At 34.3% G+C, this 21488-nt stretch overlaps 1 protein-coding gene across 11 annotated transcripts in view; it reads right to left on the bottom strand.

Annotated features, from left to right (window-relative positions):
- The window catches only part of WDR7 (WD repeat domain 7), a 385248-nt gene that overhangs the window by 217587 nt on the left and 146173 nt on the right, over positions 1-21488 (bottom strand). For all 11 annotated transcript variants that reach the window (XR_007066131.1, XR_007066132.1, XR_007066133.1 and 8 more), the window contains one exon: positions 2876-2989. Coding sequence is in view for 7 of the 11 variants with exons in the window: in NM_015285.3 (NP_056100.2) it covers positions 2876-2989 (114 nt within the window). In the remaining 4 variants the exon portion in view is untranslated. The remainder of the gene's footprint in view (positions 1-2875; positions 2990-21488) is intronic.

The following is a 21488-nucleotide window of genomic DNA, read 5'->3' as shown; positions in this document are numbered from 1 at the left end:
TTAAGATCCAGATTACTACAATAATAAAAGTAATACAACTATACACATTAGCCTAACTATAGCTTTCAAATAAGAATTCCCTGAAAATGCAGGCAAATACCTGTCATGATATAATTACTACTTATTTTATGAAGAAATATTAGAACAATTCCTCTAAAATAACTGGAAAAATCACCTGAATGGCTGCACTAGCCAGCTTTCCCTTTTGTAGTACTGGCTCTCTACAACACTAGTTACCCCAAAACAAGATTATTGTGCTTGAATCAGATTTCTCTCAATGCATCTACCATATTTTTCATAATGCAATTTATATAGGATTCTAGTCAATGAAAAGAAATATGGTTTTCTTCTAAACCCTCACAAAAATCTATACCATAGCTTAATCGAGTCACACAATTTAAAGGTAACCCGAACGATCTACAGGCTGCAACATACTAGTTGCTTTGACAACATGGTAAGGAAGCCATTTTTTAGTTATTTAAGTTCTTCGGATATTGAACATTCTTGCCTCTAGTACCCATGACAGGAAATGGATAAATCAGCAGATAAAAGCCATTTGTCACATATGTTTAACCAAACTTACAGATTAAAATATAGTGTATGTAGCATTAATAGACTCTTCAAATTAGATTTGCATTCTTAGTTTCTTGATTTTGTTAACAATAAAATTAAAAAATCATATACTGTAATGCTATCTCATGACTTTGGTAGTGCATAATTCAAAATTTCAATGTACTGATTTAATAATGCTTACTTGACTGCTCAAAAATTCAGCTTTTATTCCAGAATGCAAATTGAGTTATTCTACTATTGCAAAGGCAAATTTATTTTTGCTATGACTTAAACAACTACTTTTTATAGATTGGAAGGTGTTTAAACTTTACAGGGAATTAAAATATAACAAAAAACATACATATGACAGTATGAAAAGCAGTGAAAACGGAACAAACACGGACTGGCTTAAAAATCTGCAAATAGGCCAGGTGCAGTGGCTCATGCCTGTAATCCCAGCACTTTGGGAGACCGAGGCAGGTGGATCACAAGGTCAGGAATTTGAGACCAGCCTGGCCAATATGGTGAAACTCTGTTTCTACTAAAAATACAAAAATTAGCTGGGCGTGGTGGTATGCACCTGTAGTTATAGCTGCTTGAGAGGCTGAGGCAGGAGAATTGCTTGAACCTGAGAGTGGAGGTTGCAGTGAGCCGAGATCGCGCCACTGCACCCCAACCTGGGCAACAAAGCAAGACTCCATCTCAAAAAAAAAAAAAAATCTGCAAAGAAAATAGATTTTCTTTAGCAGCTACCAAAACAAATTCTATAATTGTAAAGTGCTAAATGACTATCAGAAAAATTAGAAGTTCCTGAAATCGTTCATATTTAGGTTGGATAATATTTTTCATCAATGAACTTACACACTAAAAAGAATTTAAAAGTAATAGCCACCATCATCATCTCATTTTTATTGAAAATCAGATGTTCCCCAACTCTGGCAATATTAGGCAGCAGTGGCACAAGGCTATAGGTATTTTAAATATACACTTTGTAAATTTTCAAGGGAGATCTTAGACTTTCTTCTTCCCATGTAACAGTAACCTACCTATCACGGAGGGTGGGAGGGAAGGAGGAAATCTCCCCTTTCTTTTCTCCTTTTAATTTTTCTTTTTTTTTTTTTTTTGAGACAGAGTCTCACTCTGTTGCCTAGGCTGGAGCGCAGAGGTGCAATCTCGGCTCACTGCAACCTCCACCTCCCAGGTCAAGCGATTCTCCTGCCTCAGCCTCCCGAGTAGCTGGAATGACAGGCGCCCACCACCACACTTGGCTAATTTTTGTATTTTTAGTAGAGACGGGATTTTGCCATGTTGGCCAGGCTGGTCTCAAACTCCTGACCTCAGGTGATCTGCCCACCTCGGCCTCCCAAAGTGCTGGGATTACAGGTGTGAGCCACTGTGTCCAGCCCTCCCTTTAATTTTTGTTAAAAATTTTCTGTTATTTTCTGGGCATGCTTCTTTCTAAATTATTGATTACTATTAAATTAATATTTTCTGGGCGTACTTCTTTCTAAAATATTGATTAGTAGTAAATTAACATTTTTTACTATTAAATTAATATTTGTTGCTTCACAACAATTATACACTTTATGATCAAATTTTAAATTTTAACCACCCACACCCAAAACAAAAGCTTATTATTCTTAATACCAATGTAAGTATTTATACTAGGTTATTTTTAACCTCTGTGCATTCAAAGAAATTGAGCTGAATGTATTTGGAGATCCAGTAACTGAAACTGCCTTAAGAGTATAAAAAGACGGGCTAAACATTTATAGTGTGTGAGTTTCCTAAAATTTGCTTTATGTTTTTCACCTAAATTTCACTTCATGTGAAAGGTAATACAGATAAGAATGTTCAGTGGCCCAACAATTAAAAAGCAGCATTCACTTCTACAGTATAGGTATAAAGAGTAAGTCTTCCTATACAGCTTATATTGTATATATTGTGATTAAATTTTAGTATTTTTTAGTTTACCTGATAGTTGCAAAATCTTTCAAAACTTAATGAGTATATTCCTCTATACATTCCAAGGCTTTAGCAATGATCGCAGATTCTGAATTAAAAGGTCTCCAGAAAACAAGTGCACAGCTAGTAGGTTTATTGTTAGAACTACAATGAGCAAACCTGGACCAAAGAAACAGTTCCACTTCTTTTCACCTCAAAATTAAAGAGGACACTGAACAGTTTCATAAAACTAAATACACCATCAGTACAAGTTTCCATCCTTTCCGTCGAAATACTTAATCCCACCACAAATAACCTAGAAAACATTTTGCAATATCAAACAAAGCTCCAATCAGACGTTAAAGATGTCTGTGCTTACCAGTGGTGATGTCATCGTCAACAAGGTCATGCTCTTCCTCCTGGACTTTTGCTTCAGGCCCTGAGGCATCAGGAGCCGTGGTGATAGTCTGCGCGGCTTCTGATGTGACTCCAGCTAAAACAAATATGAATCACAAGGCTTCACTTCAAAAAATGAAAAGTAAAGCAAACAGAAAGTTTGAAGATTTTTAATTTACTTAATGGACATAAACACAATACATTAAAAAATATATATGTTCACCAAAATTAGAGACACAAATCAATGAATAAAACATTCACGTGTGCTCTATTTATTTGCATGTATATATGTACATGGGTATGTACTGTATTTACTTTTAACCAAGATCTGGGAAAAACAGAAACAGGATGCTGAAGTATTACATTTTTTACTCGATTCCTTTCAAGGTTTTTGCTACAGTTACTTTGGCTGATTTTGACAATTATTCAACAAAGAGGAAAGTGTGGATTGTTTTAAAAGTTTACTTCTTTTTAATGTTAGTTTGTTTATAACTTGGGAGTTGGGAGGAAAGATGAAGACAGAAGAATTTGTGCCCTGGGGCTAAGTAACGGACCTGAAACACACTACCCAAAAAAAGTATAACATCTCCCTCTATGAAGGAATTCGATATAAGGTCACGTAATTATCACAATGAAAGAAATTAACTGAAAGCAGACAGGCAAAGAAGTTCAGAGGCCAAAAGCTTCCATTCTGTAAATCGCCTGAGAATTTGCCAGCTCACACAAATGTCTTTTCCTTACATATCTATCATTTCATCTTTGATGATACATATTTGTTGTCATCTTGCATCTGTCACATTATTTCTCAATTTCACAACAGATACTAGGGTGCATCGATATTTTTCACATGGTTATCAAAAGGTATTTCTCAATCATGATAATATAAAAATTTCCCCATTAGAAGCTACTCTAGGAGTTAAACTTTCTAACCAAATCATCTTAAAAGGATATCAATAACTGCCTACATAGAATCCATTTAAATATTTTAAAGACCAAACACTTCTTTAGTTCAAGGACTTCTTTTCTAACAAGGGGTATTAACTTAAACATTTATGTGAAATTCAGCCTTGCTACCTCCGGTTAACCAAAGGCACCAAAAGAGGAAGAACCTTAGTCACAAACCACCGTAACAGATCCAGAAATGGACCTACCAGTAGGCAGTTCCAAGCTCTAAGGATTTAAACTTGTGGACTAAAACGCACCATTTTGGTACCACTACTTATTCAGAGTTGCTTTAAATAATAATAATAATAATGCTAAAGAATGATCCCTGATGAATAAAAAATGACAAACTCACCACTTTGCAGAAGCATTTTTTTTTTTAATTTTTAACTTTTATTTTAGGTTCAGGGGTACATGTGCAGGTTTGCTATATAGGTAAATTGCACGTCGTGGGGGTTTAGTGTACAAATTATTTCATTACGCAGGTAATAAGCATAGTACCCAAGAAGTAGTTTTTCAGTCCTTACCATCCTACCACTCTCCACCCTCAAGTACACCCCGGTGTCTGTTGTTCCCTTCTTTGTGTCCATCTGTACTCAATGTTTAACTTACAGAAGCACTTTGTTAGATTTATATGATCAATTTTAACATAAAGAAGGGGATGTACTAGAAAAATAATATTACTTTATTAAAGATAGCTATCAGTAAAATAATCACAGAGAGGAGATGAGAAGGTAAACATCACATTCCTAAATAGATACTGCTCAAATACAAAATCAAAAATCATTATTTCATATTAAATCAATATATAAATCTTTGAAATATCTGAGTCTCCATTTCTTGCTTAGAACTTGATAATTTTTAAAATGATCAGAGAAACATTGAAAAAATATTAAATAGTTTGGATAGTAACAATCAGCATTAGTATTTTCATTTCCTACAAAATTAAGGGATCAATGAAAATAAAGCTGGCATTTATGTAGTAACAAGTTTATGGATCCATTTACATTTATCTCATTTAATCAGAGAGGCTAAGTAATTGTTCAACATAATATGGCTACTAAATTCAGGAACCAGAATTGAGACGTAGGTCTTTTGATTTCAAACTTCAATATCAATTTACCACCAAGTCTTTCCAGGGACTAAGCTCCTGGGGACAGGGTGGGAGGTGTCACAGAACATCACAGCATAACCTTGAGAAACCACAGAATCACACAATACTGATTATAAATACTACCAAGCATTCCATAGAGCTCCTGTGCTGTGCCAGTTAACTATTCAACCAAGGGAATTCAGGATTTTGGAACAGAGCTTAAGGAACAAACAAGTACATCTCAAAGTAACTGAGGCTGAAAGACCAGGGAGTTGTGCTAAAACTGGTTCTTTGATTGATGCTTTCCAAAACTTAGTAAGGGTTATAAAATCCTCACCAGAAAAAAAAATACAAAGAAAAGAAAACTACAGACCAGTATCTCTCATAAAGATAGTCTCCAGAATTCATAACAAAAATAAAAGCAAATAGGATACAGCAACATATGAAAAGAATTATATACCATGACCAAGTAGGGTTTATTCACAGCATGAAAGGGGTTCAACTGGCCAAAATGGATCAATTAAGATCCAAAATATTAACAGGCTGAAGAAGAAGAAAAAAAAGAATTCCTGCTCATATCAATCATTTGACAAAATTCAACATCCATTCATGATTTAAAAAAGAAAAAAAAAACCTCTAAGAAAATAAGAATACAGAGGAACTTGATAAACAGCATCTACTAAAAGCCTACAACTAACATTACACTTAATGGTGAAAGTCTGAATGCTTTTGCCCTATGATCAGGAATATGGCAAAGATAGTCACACTCACCACTCTTACTTAACATATCATTGGAAGTTCTACCCAATGCCACAAAGCAAGAAAATACACACACATACACACATTTTAGAAAGAACGATGTAATTGCCCTATGTGATGGTTAATTTTTTTTTTTTAATGTTTTTTTTTTTTATTATACTCTAAGTTTTAGGGTACATGTGCACATTGTGCAGGTTAGTTACATATGTATACATGTGCCATGCTGGTGCGCTGCACCCACTAACGTGTCATCTAGCATTAGGTATATCTCCCAATGCTATCCCTCCCCCCTCCCCCGACCCCACCACAGTCCCCAGAGTGTGATATTCCCCTTCCTGTGTCCATGTGATCTCATTGTTCAATTCCCACCTATGATTAAGTGTCAACTTGATTGGATTAAGGGATACCTAGAGAGCCGGTAAAGTATTACCTCTGGTTATGTGTGTGACGGTGTTTCCTGGGAGACTGGTGTGTGAGTCAGTGTACTGAGTGGGAAAAATCGGCACTCAATGTGGGCAGACACCATTCAATTATCTGGGGGCCCTCGCTGAACAAAAGAGCAGAGAAAAAGCAAATTCTCACTCCTGGAGCTGGGATATCCTTTTTCTTCTGCCCTTGGACATCAGAACTTCAGGTTCTCTAGCCTTTGGACTCCAGGACTTACACCCAGCAACCCTGTAGGTTCTCAGGGCTTTGGCCATGGACTGAGAATTACACCCTTGGCTTCCCTGATTCTGAGGATTTTAGACTTAAACTGAGCCCCACCACCAGCTTCGCTGGGTCTCCCACTTACAGATGGCCTATCCTGGGACATTCCAGCCTTTGCAATTGCATGAGCCAATTGCATGAGCCAATTCCCCTAATAAGTCCCCTGTTCTCTCTATCTATTCTTTTGGTTCTGTTTCTCTGGAGAACTCTAATACACCCCACTCAAAGATAAAATGATTGTTTACAGGGAAATACAGAGGAATTATCGAAACTAATAAGTTAGTTCAGCAAGGCTGCAAAATATAAGAAAAAAACATGGAAAACATCGATTCTATTTCTATATGTTAGTAATGAACAATGGACACCTAATTTTTTTAAAGCCATAATACTATTAACAGTAATTATAAAAACTAAAATACTTAGATGTAAATCTGAAAAACCACAAACAGGTCTTGTATGCTGACAACTACAAAACACTGATGAAAGAAATCAAAGGAGATCTAAACAAATGAAACAGAATTACACTGTGTTCATGGAATCGGAAGATTCAAAACAGGAAAGACGCCAAATCTCCACAAATTGACTGATATACAGATTTAATGCAATTTCTAACAAAATCCCAGTAAGTTTTTTGTAGATATCAACAAAAGTATTCTAAAATTATATGAAAGACAAAGGAATTAGGACAAAACAATTCTGAAACTGAATAAAGTAGAAAAAAGTCATTTTACCCCATTTTAAGACATATAAAGTTATTAAAACCATGTGACTTTGGCAAAGTAATAAACATTATGTTAATGTAACAGAATAGAGAACCAAGAAACAGACAAACACCAATCTGCCAAAATGATTTTAGACAGAGGTGCAAAACCAATTCGATGGGGGAAGGATAATCTCTTCAAAACAGGGCTAGAACAACTGAACATCCATAAGCAAAAAAAATGAACCTTGATCTAAGGCTCATAATTTATATAAATAGTAACTCAAAGTAGATCATGGACTGAAATCTAATACATAAAAGTATAAAATTTTTCCAAAAAAACTCAGGAGAAAATCTCTGAAATGTAAGTTTAGACTTGATACCAAAAGCACAATCCACAAAAGAAAAAATTGGCAAAGTGGGCTTCATTAAAATTTTTAGACTTTTGTTCTACAAAGGCCCTATTAAGAAGATGAAAAGACAAGCTCCAAAACGAGAGAAAAGATTCACAAATCACACGTCCAACAAGTAATTAGTACCTGGACTATTTAAGGAACTCTCAAAACTCAAGAGTAAACAAACAATCTGGCATTTCCTCAGAAAGTTAAACATAGAGTTACCATGTGACCCAGCAATTTTAGTACTAGCGAATGAAAACATATGTCCACACAAAAGCATCTACACGAACATTCACAGCAGCATTATTCATAAAAGCCAAAAAGTGGAAAGTATCCAAATGTTCATCAACTGATGAATAAATGATAAATTCATACAATAGAATATTATATAGCAATACAAAGAAATGAAGTTCCAATACATGCTATGGCATGAATAAATATTAACAATTTTAACGCTAAATAAAAGAAGTCGCAAAACATTACATGCCTTATGATTCCATTTACATGAAATGTCTAGAAGAAGCAAACCTATGGAGACAGAAAGTAAATGTGTAGATTGGCCTAGGGCTGAGGTGGGTGGACAGAACATGGAGTAATGCTAATGGGGGCTGAGGTTTCACTTTGGGGTGTTTGAAACTGTCCTGAAGTTGATTGTGGAGATGCTTGTACAACTCTAAATCAGCTTAAAAAACCACTGAATTGTACACTTTCAAGGTTGAATTTAATATTAAGTGAATTACGTGTCAATAAAGCTGAATTTTTAAAAGTTTGGTTTTCTAACATTCCAGATCAACCAAGGTATCCATGCCACCTCAGTGTACTCTCTTGATACTTTTTTCTGCCATATAGCTGAAGAAAAAAAGGGAGGAAAAGAGTCACATAGAACATTTATACAATAAGAAAGCAAAATTCGCCACAAATATTTTGTTTCAGAAAGGCATAATTTTCTACTTAAAATTTTTAAAAATTAAACTATATTCTTTATGTTGACCATATTTGTAACTATATTAATCCTCAGTCAAAATTTCTGTATTATTTTGTTCCCAATCAATAAGAAGTGATTGACTTGTTTACTTCAAAATTATATATATATTTCATTTTTTAAAGATCAGCAAAATATTCTTAACTCCCATAATACAGGGCACTGTGATAGCAACAGACTACTTGCGATTTCTAACCTTTTTGGAAGACAGTAAAGGGGTAGGAGAAACTGAGAATGGACAGCCCAAATTACCACACTCAACTCTCAAATCCAAATGGCACAGCTCATTTAAAACTAATTTTAACCATTTGCTTTAAGGAAAATCTGATAGGTGCTTTTAACTTTTGAAGTTTTCAGCCATATAGTTATGGTAGAAGACTATTAAAAACCATTATTTAATACTTCTAAGCAAGGTAGTCATTATCTGCAAAAGAAGGAATAATATTTTTTAAAATTCCCAGCCATAAACCTGGCTATTTCTACTTTCTACATTATTTAGTTCTATCAGGACCTTATGTTAATGGATCGAGATAACAGTAGACTTTCTGTAAAAGGCAAAACAAAAATGAAATCAGTGGTTGCCAGGGGTTAGGAGTGTGACAAAAGGATTGACTATAAAGAGGTAAAGCAAAATTTTTAGAACAGTGAAAATAATCTATACCATGACTATTTACATGTGTTTAAAACTCATAGAACAATATGTTTAAAAGTGTGCATTTTACTATATATATATATACTTCCAAAAACTTAGCTTGTTAAAAAAACATACAATAGAAGGCACTACATCACTGTCACAAAAGAGAATTGAAGACTATGCCAGAATACAATGCTATTTTCAACAAAACACAGAGACTAGAAAAAATAGTTTTAGTTCTCCCTGCTACAAAAAGCTTAGCCTTTGTGTACTATCCACTACCAAAGAAAATGAAATATCCTTGCAAAAAAAAATAAGAGTCCACTAGGAAAATATATTTATGGAAATTTCAGGGTATTTTGTATATCAAAGTTATAAATATTGTCAATTAATTATATGGTGATATTTTGGTATATTCTTTTGTACTTGACATAAGTGAGCTTATTTGTCAAATTATACCACACAAGCTACGGTTTACTTACTTTCTGAGTATTTCCAAAATATTTGACAGTGATGAAAATCTCATAAAGGTTCAATAAATACTGAATACTTTATCTCATGGCACAAATTGCGTTATTTAAATATACTAGAAAATAACAGTAAGGGTACTTTGGGGAAAGAGATATGATAAAAAGAATAATAAGGAAATAAGGAGAGTAAAGAGATATAATAAAAAAGAAATACAATTAACAGAAAGACATGAGGCAGGTAAAAAACCAGTGAGTATCCAAATCCAGATTTCACAAAATAAAAAACCAATGTACATTATACCAAACAACAGTTCTCAATAAATGAGTTTTATATCATGCATCAGGAGGAAAATGGGGGCAGAGGGGGAATGGAGTGGGGCAGCAAGCTGGTATGAGTAAGTCTGGACACAACAGTAAAAGGGAAGTGGGAGGGTTGTAGCTAGTAGAAGTGAGAATTAGAGGACAAGAAAGACTATGAGATCCTCACGCCATCTAGATTTCTAAACGCTTAGATAACTCTTCATTACGAAAAATCTATATACATAAAACTTCCCAATTTTATGCAATATTTTTTAAGCCACTTCAGAAGTTTTTTAAAATATAAATATGGATATGCCATCTTCAAAATCAATGGAATTAAACTACACTCAACTAGCCCCACCAGTAAAATTGGGTATAGTATTCTAAAAATTATCTTTCATAAGCTTGTAAATTACCTTTATGAATTTTTTTCCAACTGGCTAACAATATCTGAGTAATAATAAATAACATGAACTCACAAGACTACAGTGTCATGTGATTAACATGAAATGCGAGAACAAAATACTAATTTTTAATATAGTAACATGTAAAAACCAGCACTTTAACCAATATGGAAATATAAAACCACTTCAGTTCATTATAGTTTCATTTTTTTATTGAAGATTAGATGGTAGTGATAAACACTGCTAGGACTAAGAATGGAGAAAGATATTTATAAATATTAACAAAAATTCTATTTCTCATTCTCAGTAATATAGATTTCCACTGAGATTGAAAAATAGATCCAAAAGAATGGCAGATATTTTTATTTCATCAGTTCCTCACAACTGTGGTTTTCCAGTCGTCCAATTAAAGTACACTGGAGGCAATAATTTGATATGAACATTTACTGTGAATGAGGTAAAATTTAACAATAAGGGAGTATGTGAGTATCTACAGTTTCTTTTCAGGCAGAAGGCCTGAATTTATTGGAAGCAGATCTCTGCAGTGACTGACCAACACTGCCCCACATTCCCCACAATCCTTATGACAGACAGACAGCCTGCCTCACATTAATTCACTTCACACCACTTCTATCGATCCACAGCCGGTTCCCTAGTCTCTCTGCACACATTGCCTGTCTGGCTGCCTACATCCACATCAGCACATACACACAAAGGCCATAGAAAGATAACCTTTTGCTTTCCATTAAAGACACAGTATCCACTTTTCCTTCTGCAATAACATCAAAAATATGAAATTAACAGTATAGATGTCTTGTAGAAAAGCCTTTCTGTAAGAAATTTATCCCTTATTCTGAATAAAGACCACTTCAATTTATCAAAAACAATAAAGTTAGTTTATTAAAGTCCACAAAGTAATTAGAGAAATAAAAATATAATTTAAAATAAGCAGAATGTCTTCAAGCTCAAATAACAATGTAAGAATTATTTGGTAACACGAGTTTTGATCTTTGTTTATGAACAAATGAAATACATTTTTTCCTAACTAGTATTTTTTTTTTTTAGAAAACTGCTCTCATATAAAATGTAATTATTAGCAATTCTGAAAGCAACAAAAGGGAAACATTTACTGAAAAATATGTAAGTAAAATAGAAAACAGGAAGTGTACTGTATCAATAGAATATTAATGGGATAGCATAAAGCTTTATTATTTCTCTTTCCCAAAAATATCTAAAAATTGATCCATCATTTAAAAAATCAAGCCTGATGCTTCTAATTACTGCATGTATTTTTTCAAAAATTTCTGTGAGATTTGCAGGATATGAGCTGACAACACCAATTTTGGTTTCAAAAGACACAAAAAAACCAAAGACTATGTTGTTCAACCTATAAATTGTTATGAAACAAAGAAAAAACCGTTTTGATACACAACTGTACTAAAGCATAAGCTTAACATTATAACCTCTGGCTGATTTAGAAACTCAAACTATAAGCAGAATTACATATCTCAGAACTGTGCTTAAAGTATGTTCTTTTAGATAAGAAGGTACCTTTGAAATCCTTCATGAATTTTTTTTTTTTTTTTTTTTGGCTAGGATCACCTAGGCAGAGGTTACATCATCAAGTGGTGACAAAAACAGTGCACTCACTACATTCAGTACCTTACACCTGTTGTTATTTATAACAGCAAGCTGCTTTGGAAATCAAAGGGAAACTGATGAAGGCTGCTGAAGTTGATGGCTTTAAAAAGGGGATGTTAAGATGTGTATTGGGCATGAAGGGTGGGATAGATCTGAGTAACAGAGAGGCTGGCATTGCCAATATAAGTAAAGCAAGCCATTAAAATGGTAAACATAACCGTGCAATAGGTATAATAACTGTGCAATGGTATAGGAAACAGTGCAATGTTCCCTCATTATACTAAACACTCAAGGAGCCTCCAGGCTATTATGCAACAAGCCCTATACCAGAGATTAGAGACACAAAAGTACAAAGACATACCCTTAGCTTCCAAAAAGTTTATATGTAAACTGAGGGAGTCATTAAATAAATTTAAGCACAGAAAATATCTTAATTTTATTTGTGTTTAGAAAGGGCTCTCCTGTAGCAATGTAAAGAATGACTTGGAGGGACTCGGTGAATGAAGGTAGCAATGAGGCCAATGATGTAAAACCGTGCTACTGGGAGCCCTAGTACTTCCTTAGAAGTGCCAGAAGGGAGACCTCTACCCTCCCCATCCTTACCTCTATGTGGTTGTGTGTATGCATGCATGCACACACATGTCCACATGTTTTACAGAAGTTTTCATTTGAAGAAAGGATACCGCTTTTCTAAAAGTCTGAAAATCACTGATCTATATATTTTTTTAAAGACAGTACTTAATGGAGAGAAAATCAAGAGTAGTTTTCAGTTAAAACACAGAATGGTAGGGCTGTTCTCTGAGCATGGCGAAGGCAGGAGGAAAAATTTATTCATTTAACTTTTTTGAATGATAGTTATTCTAGGCAAAGAAAATAAAAATGAAGGTAGGGAAACACAAGGACTTTACACTAGAGAATCTAATAGCCATAATGAAAATACAGATTTATCAATGAATAAGTGAAAATAGTTCACATATGGAGAAAAATCAGCTCTTCTTAGGATGGGAAGAGGAAGAAATACATGTCAAAGACAATTTCACAAGAAGGAAATATTTGAATTGGGTCTTGAAATATGTATAAGAATTCACAAAGAAATGACACTAGGTGAAGAAAACTCAAGGAAGAAAGGGTATGCTAAAAGTCCCTGGCGCATCTACAGAGCGGGTAGCAGGAGCATAAACAGTGTGAGAAGAGGTAGGCAATGAGGCTAATAAAACATTTGAGGCTAGAGCCCCAAAGGCAATGAGAAACAGGGTACTAACAGAAAATTTGAAGCAAGAAAGAAATTTTCATTCTTTAAAACAGATGCCTGGTTCCAGTATGGAAAATGAAGTAGAATCACTGGTAAATATAATTACAAGGTTGCTAGGGCAAGTGACTATGCAATGAAAGTAAATAAAAACTTCAATACCTGAGATTTGGGGATAAGTAAAAAAAAAAAAAATCCTATGATTTCTCTTTCTGGTCATCAGAATAGTTCAGGAATTCAGTTTTGGGTAGAGCCAGAAGCAGTTGTTAAAGACAATTATGAAGGCAGAGAGTTTAATGTAGTGTCAATCATAATCTCCAAAGACACAATCCCAAATGCCATAATCCTAAATGTTGAAATCTCGAAAGATGGAAATTCCCAAAAATCAAAGGTCTACAATCTAAAACTCCAAATGACGAAAATCTCTAGAGTCTAAAATCCCCAAAATCATAATCCCAAAACAGTAAAATCCCAAATTCTGAAATCCTGAAAGCCCGATTCTGGGGAAGTGATCAGTGCGCTTTTTGGTTGTATGCAGGATAGTTACATCATGTTAGTTACATCATGTTAGGAAGTATTACCTTTTTATTGTCTTCACTTGGAAATTAAATGGGTTTAAGGAGGTGTGGATGGGTAACAGCCTGACAAGGGGTGGACTTGTGGACTTAATTTTGGTATCAATTTAACTGGATTAAGGAACATCTAGAACCCAACCCAACCCAAAGCATTACTTAGGGTGTGCCTGTGAGAGTGTTTCCAGAGACGATTAATGTGAGAGTCTGAGTGGACTAGGTGGGGAAGGTCTGCCCTCAGTGTTGGCAGAAACCATCCAATTGGTCTTCCAGGGTCCAGGGAGAACAAATGCAGAAGGGAAATTGGTCTCTGAGAGCTGGGACAGACTTCTCTTCTGCTGCCTTAAACATCAGAAATTTGACGCTACGAAAGTGCATTATCACAACATTGACTTTGTGTATAAGCATTTGTGCATGTATGTAAAAATGGTGAAAGTTCCTCAATAAATGAAGAGATGTTCCTTTGTACATTTGCATTTGCGAAAAATAAAATGTCTCAAAATCTCAGCTCTCAAATTCACATTGCCTATGTGATGATCTGTCGCAGTTTTTGATCATTCTCATCAAAAGACTTAGATTGTCTAACACAGTATCTCAGCGGACCACTGTTATAAAGCTGAGTACACACAATCACCAACCACAGTGATATGCATTAATACATTTCACTTTTTGACTTACTTCTTTATGAATAGGTTCACTGACTCATAACTGTTATATCCATATGACTGTCATTAGCATACCAGAGTTTTTACGCTTACAAAACACAGATGTTATTGTTGCTTATTTTATTGTGTGAAGTGGACTATGAAGTGTTCTGACACGTTTTTTATGTTTCTCAAATAAATTCTCTATAAAAACGTAGAAACTATATTTTAAATTACCTTTTCCAGAATTATATTTTCAGGATTTTGATCTTTTGAATTATGATTCTCAGGGTTTTAGACTTTAAGGATTCTAATCTTTTGGGATTTCAATATTTGGAATTTTAGAGTTTGAGATTGTGTGTTTCAAGATTATGGCTCAAATCCAGTTTAATCTGCTAGCAGACAATCCCAGAGAGGTAACAAATAAAAAGCAATAATTTCTGGCAACCCAGCCAGGCTGCCTTTGTGTCATTGTATAAAACCTGATGAATACAAGATAGTAGACAGTGATATGTCATACATTAAATTCAATGATGGGCCAGGTGTGGTGGCTCACGTTTGTAATCCCAGCACTTTGGGAGGCTGAGGTGGCAGATCTCTTCAGCCAGGAGTTCGAGTCCTGCCTGAGCAACTTGGCAAAACCTCATTTCTACAAAAGAATACAAACATTAGGCTGGGCACAGTGGTGCACACCTGTAATCCCAGCTACTGAAAAGGTTGAGGTGGGAATATTGCTTGGGCGGTAAAGGCTGCAGTGAGCCATGATGGCACCGCTACACTCCAGCCTGGGCGACGGAGCAAGACCCTGTCTCAAAAAATTAATTAATTAATTAGATAAATTCAATGATGGATACAAGGGGTTGAGTTTAGCACAGTGCCTGAGATGTGGTAAGTGCTCAATAAGTAGCATTATAGTATCATTAAAGTTATTACCATTGCTTTTGTTATTATCAATTTTTGCTTATTGTTATTCTCTTTTTCCTAACTTCAGGAAAATACTGAATATTCAGCTTTTTTTCTCCATTTCATGAACCCATTTACTTATGCCTTTTTAAAAACTTTTAGTATTATTTCCCTCCTTTTAGAGCCACATTTCCAGACGTCTTACGATACATGTTTATAAATAAGATATTTGATGGCAAAAAATCAGAATATTTACCTTTCACAGAACCAATGTATCTTATTTTCTTTCACTGCCAAAAAATGTTATTTTCAAATATCTAAACACATACACACACAAACACACAAATAGGAACGCTTTTGACTCTTAACCTCTTTACACATAGTGAATAAATGATTTGAAAATAAATACACAAGAATCTGGTTTTAATATTGTGCTAGCAGATGACACATTTAATTGGCAACAATATGCTATGAGATCACACTATAAGGCATTTTGGATATTCCAATAACTTATCACAGTAATAAATTAGATAAACACTGTAATGTGCTCTGACTTTATTATTTGAGAATATTCAGTTATTTTATAGATAAGAATAAGATGGATGAAACTCATAAGAAGTGTTATATATGGACAGTAATGAGTACCATGTAAGAATATAGGCAAAACTAATAAGATACATTAAGTACAGACAGTAAGTTAATGACCTAGAAGATACATGATAAAAAGCATGAAACAAGCAAGAATGTTACTTATAGAGAGAAATAAATGGAAAGACAGCTCATAAGATAAAGCTGTAACACCTCTCGAAAAAAAAAACACAGGAGAAAATCTGCATGACCTTGTATTTGCCAATGAGTTTTTAAGATACAACACCAAAGGCATGAGTCATAAAAGAAAAACTAATTGGACTTTATCAAAATTAAAAACTTTTGCTCTGCAAAGGACGTTGTTAAGAGAATGAAAAACAACCCGCAGACTGGGAGAAAATATTTGAAAATTATATATTTATTTAAGGGTTTCTATCCAGTAAGTTCAAAGAACACTTAAAACTTTACTGTTGGGCCAGGTGCGGTGGCTCATGCCTGTAATCCCAGCACTTTGGGAGGCCAAGATGGGTGTATCACGAGGTCAGGAGATCGAGACCATCCTGGCTAACATGGTGAAACCCTGTCTCTACTAAAAATACAAAAAAAAAAAAAAAAAATTAGCCGGTGTGGCGGCGGGTGCCTGTAGTCCCAGCTACTCAGGAGGCTGAGGCAGGAGAATGGTATGAACCCAGGAGGCAGAGCTTGCAGTGAGTCGAGATCATGCCACTGCACTCCAGCCTGGGCAACAGAGGGAGACTCTCAAAAACCAAAACCAAAAACAAAACAAAAATTTTATTGTTAGGCAACCCAAGGTTAAAAAAAAAAAAAATTCTAACTATGGTAAGAAAAATTGGACAAAAGATGTAAATAGGCATTTCACCAAAATGGACATATGGATGGCAAATAATCATATGAAAGTATGTTCAACATTATTAGTCATTAAGGAAATATGAACTAAAATCATAGTGAGATATAACCACATACTTATTAACATGTCTAAAGTTAAAAAAATACTAACAATATGAGATGCTGACAAAGATGCAGAGCAATAGGAAAACTCACGCCTTCTTGGTAGGCACAACTGCTTTGGAAGACAGTTCTACTGAATTTTTAGTCATACTTACTCTTATATAACTAAGCAATTCCATTCCTAGGTAGTTGCTCAAGTGAAAAAACATGAAATTTATGAAACCTGGAAACTTACATTGACATAATACCCTGTACATGAATAGCTACTGGAGCTTCATTCATGATCATCAAAATCTGGAAACAACCCAGATGTCCCTAAACAGGTGAATGGATAAATATACTTTGGTACAGCCACATAATAAAACACTATTTAGCAATAAAAAGGAATGAATTATTGATTCCTGCAATAACATGAATGAATCTCAAGTGTATTTTGCTAGTGAAAGAAGCCAAACCCAAAAGACTACAGGTTAGGTTCCATTTATATGGAATTTTGGAAAAGGAAAAACTGTAAGGATGGAAAACAGATGAGTGATTGCCAGGGATTGAAAGGAGAGGAGTTGATTACAAAGAGGCTATATAAGGAAATTATTGAAGTGCTACAAACGTTCTGTATGGTACTGTGGTGATGGATATTTGACCATTTATCAAAACCTAAAGATCTATCTGCTACAAAGAATAAACTTTATTGTATACAAATTTTTAAAAATAATGAATTAACCAAAATGCCGAGGGAACCCAGGATGAACTGTAGATTCTGACAAATGAGTCTAAGTAAATTACAAATGTAGGACATAACCTCACTGAAGGTGTAAACAAAAACAGCTGACCTAAGTAACTTTGGAAAACAGGCCAAAAAACTGGTTAATGTAAAGCTAAAGACAAAAATAACTATACACAATACTACACTATAGTTGGTAAACTGGTTTTTCACATGGTATGAGTTAGCAATTCTGAATTACCTTTAATGTCTTCTAGGGTTGAAAAAATAAGTAAATATTGTAGATAATGAAAGATTTCTCAAATTCAAAGAAAGTAATTACAAATAAGCAAAGGAAAAAGATTAAATCTTTTTGTAGTGGATGAAAATGAGAAATATCAGTATGAACTCATATCCACTTTAATATACAGACACACACAAATACAGACATAATTCTAGATATGTGGGGGATACATGGGCTAGTGCACATACATATGTTTCCCAGTTCTGTCCACTCACAGGACCCAGAAGCAGTGAAATCCCTGTAGTAACAAGAACACCTAGCACTCAGATCTTAGTGTCTAATACCTCCATTAAAAGGAACCAGGGTTCCTTAGAGAAATGACTGATTCTACGGAAGGCAGGGAAAATACAGATGAGCAGGGAGCCTGTGCCAGAAAGTAAGAAAGTGCTTTAAGAAAAAAAGATGAGGCCATATCAAACTGACACTGAAGCAAACTTAAAAGAGCTCCCTATGGCCAATGCCAGGATAATCTGAGCAATGAACCGGCATTATAAAAGTTATATTCCTCAGACAGTTATTAGGAGCCTGCTGAGGGTCTGGCGCTGGGTCTTTGGGGACAAAATATAAGGTCCTGGATCTTGGCCCCAAGGAGATCTCAGTGGAGCACTTTCTATATGTATTTATTTTTATGAAGACTATATGGTTCAATATCACAATGGAACACAAATTATGTCTCAAAATGTAGATATGTATTTATATATAAGATATAAAGAAAGAAGTAAAATGGCAAGCTTCAGAGAAAACTAAGTAAGCACATGCATGAAATATATTGAGTTCAGCCTGGAAACATGACAAAGTGGGATCAAACTGGTGAAGATATAAACATGCATACACTGTAATGAGCATAATGCATCTATAGAAGCACATCATGATTCCACTACATTACAGTGATTAAACCTCACAATTCATTTTAAAGACTATTCATATCTAACCAATGATTTAGAGAATGAAAAGTTGAATTAAGTAAGGGAGCACCAATCATTGCCTCTGGCAGAGCTTTTAAAGAATTAACTTGCAAACAAAGTTATAAAAAGAATGAAAAATGAGCCAGACAGTAAGAAGACCACAGAGATACGACAGTGTATAAAGAGAATATAAACTTTCATTTTTAACCCCGTCCCACAAATAAAAACATAGCAAAGTCTATTTTTAAACAAGGCAGCCTACTCTTAGGCTACAACTCTAATTTCTTCCTTACTCTGGCAGTGAGCAAGGGAAACCAGGAAAGGAAGTTGAGTCACTGCAAATAAACTGGCATTAAAGAAAACTTGAAAAGATTAATAAAAGTAGATCAATTACTCTTACAGAGAATGCCAGCAATAAAAAATTATGCTTTAAAGGAGGTTAAATGAATAATCCCTATCCACTTGGTGTCATGAGAATCATATTTGATTTTGCAACCACTGATTTCAGTTAGAATGTTTCACAGCACATTTTAAAAATGTGTTTAATTCTGTCACCATAAATATACACCCACATGTTATCAGGCTAGCACACATATAATGTTTCACATAACATTTAATGAGGCATTAATAATATGTAAAATACTTCTTGAAACTGTGCGTGGTACATACCAAGTCTTATATATTTTTATATATTTACAAACAGTACTACTGTACTGTAAATATGTTAGTGTTGTCAGCTCTTTTATGACCCCCACAGCACATAAAATATTATCAGCAACACTGTAATATAGAGTATCAGTAACAAGTATTAAAATGTCATAGTTCTGATGAATAAAAAAAACCAAAATATTTGATATAAAAGCCACAAATATGTGACCTCAAGTAATACTTAAGATATTGTCATCCTGTTCCATTTATCCTTTTTATTTACATATATTTCACAGAGATTCTACATTTAGATAAAAATTAAAAGTTATACAGTACAAGAGTACTACACCCTCAAAAACAGTTTTAATATTTCACTCTAAAAATATCTCTTTTAAATGAATTCCTTGGCACCTCCAAATACTCTATTTTCCAGCTGTTTAAGTGACTGGCTATGCTGGACACTGAGTCCTTCACCATCTCTATAATAGTTCTTACTGCACTGTTTCATTGTTCATTTGATTACCTGCCTTCCTAATACACTATAAGCTCCATGAAGACAGGGACCATGACTACTTTGTTTATCATTATATTCTCCAGCCTATAGCTGTTTGGCAGTTAATAAATAGCTATTGAATTAGGGAGGGAAAGAAAAAGGGAGGAAGGATTGAAAACAAGCTGTGATACATACATTGATCAGGACATTTACTTAACATTGTTTTAATCTTTTATTATTCACCAGAAGCAATTCTATATGCAAATATGCAGTGTTTATAAATGAAATTTTGACAAATGTCTCATGTATAAGATCTATTTTATATATTCTCAGTATCTATCAAAAAGTCTATAATACAAATTATATAATCCATTTATTAAGAAAACTTTTATAAAGCAATAGCAAATACTAAATGGAAAAGAAAATAAATTGGGTAATTTAATTTTACATAAATAACATAGAAAAATACTACCTACTTAACCGCAGTATCACCCTCAATAACATAAGCATAAACAGACTATTCCTTAGAAATGTAATTGGAGAAAAGGCAACAAATTTCACGTTTAATTATTCTAGCCCAGGATATCTTAACTCATTACTAACATTCTGGGTTGGATAATTCTTTGTTGGCAGTGGCAAGGGCTGTCCTGTTTAGAAGCATCCCTGGCCTCTGTCCTAGTGGTGACAACCAAAATGTCTCCAGATATCACCAAATGTTGGGGTGTGAGGGTATGTAAAATCGCTGCAGGTTAAGAACCACTGTGCCAGTCAAATGAGTCTCAAAGCTACAAGTAAACTCATCAAGTCAAGTGAACTGAGTTATGTTATATCCAAAAGAATCACATGAAAGTCAACTCCCTCTGCCCCACCCCATAACCACTATTATTGATAGAAATGTGCTGCCCTACCAAAGCAGATTGATGTGCTTTCTACAGTGATTATTATCGTCAATATAATTAAATTTGCTATTACAAAAGTCAAGTAAAATCATTACATCCTTTAAAAATAAAATGCTTTTAACCAGGGAAATATTATCATCTTTGGTCCATCAATATAGCACCAATCATCATGTAACAGATTACAGAAACATTTCCAAAATTAGTGTACATTTCCCTGCGACATATATGTAATAAAAGTGATGGTAGTGATGGAAAGTGGAAAAATAGAAAAGAATATTTACAGGTAAAGATGATAGGTTTGAAGTGGCTATAAACGCCCAAGGGAAGATGAAGATGACTGAATGAAATGGAATCTCATTTCTTTTCATATCCAGCATCCAGAACAATGCTGTGCTCCATGTATGTGCAAAATACAATTTGTTTAACTGACTTAATGTTACGTTTAAGTTTTAGCTGACTTATTTTTTAGATAGATAGATAAAAGTGTATTCTGATAAATCCACAAGATGGGGTTGTTTCTTTGGGAATGGGGAAAACTATGATTCTAATGAAGGGATCCAGTATGCTAGGAATAATCACCAATCAGATAAAGAATTGAAATCAGAATATCTTAATGAACTTTGTGTTCAATCAAAATTAACTGCTTCTTCCCCTTTTCCTACATATCCTATTTATACCTGTTTTATATTTA

Source organism: Homo sapiens, chromosome 18, assembly GCF_000001405.40.
Source record: "Homo sapiens chromosome 18, GRCh38.p14 Primary Assembly".
Lineage (NCBI taxonomy): Eukaryota > Metazoa > Chordata > Mammalia > Primates > Hominidae > Homo > Homo sapiens.
The sequence above is the reverse complement of the archived record's forward strand: the minus strand, read 5'-3'. Positions and strand labels throughout refer to the sequence as shown.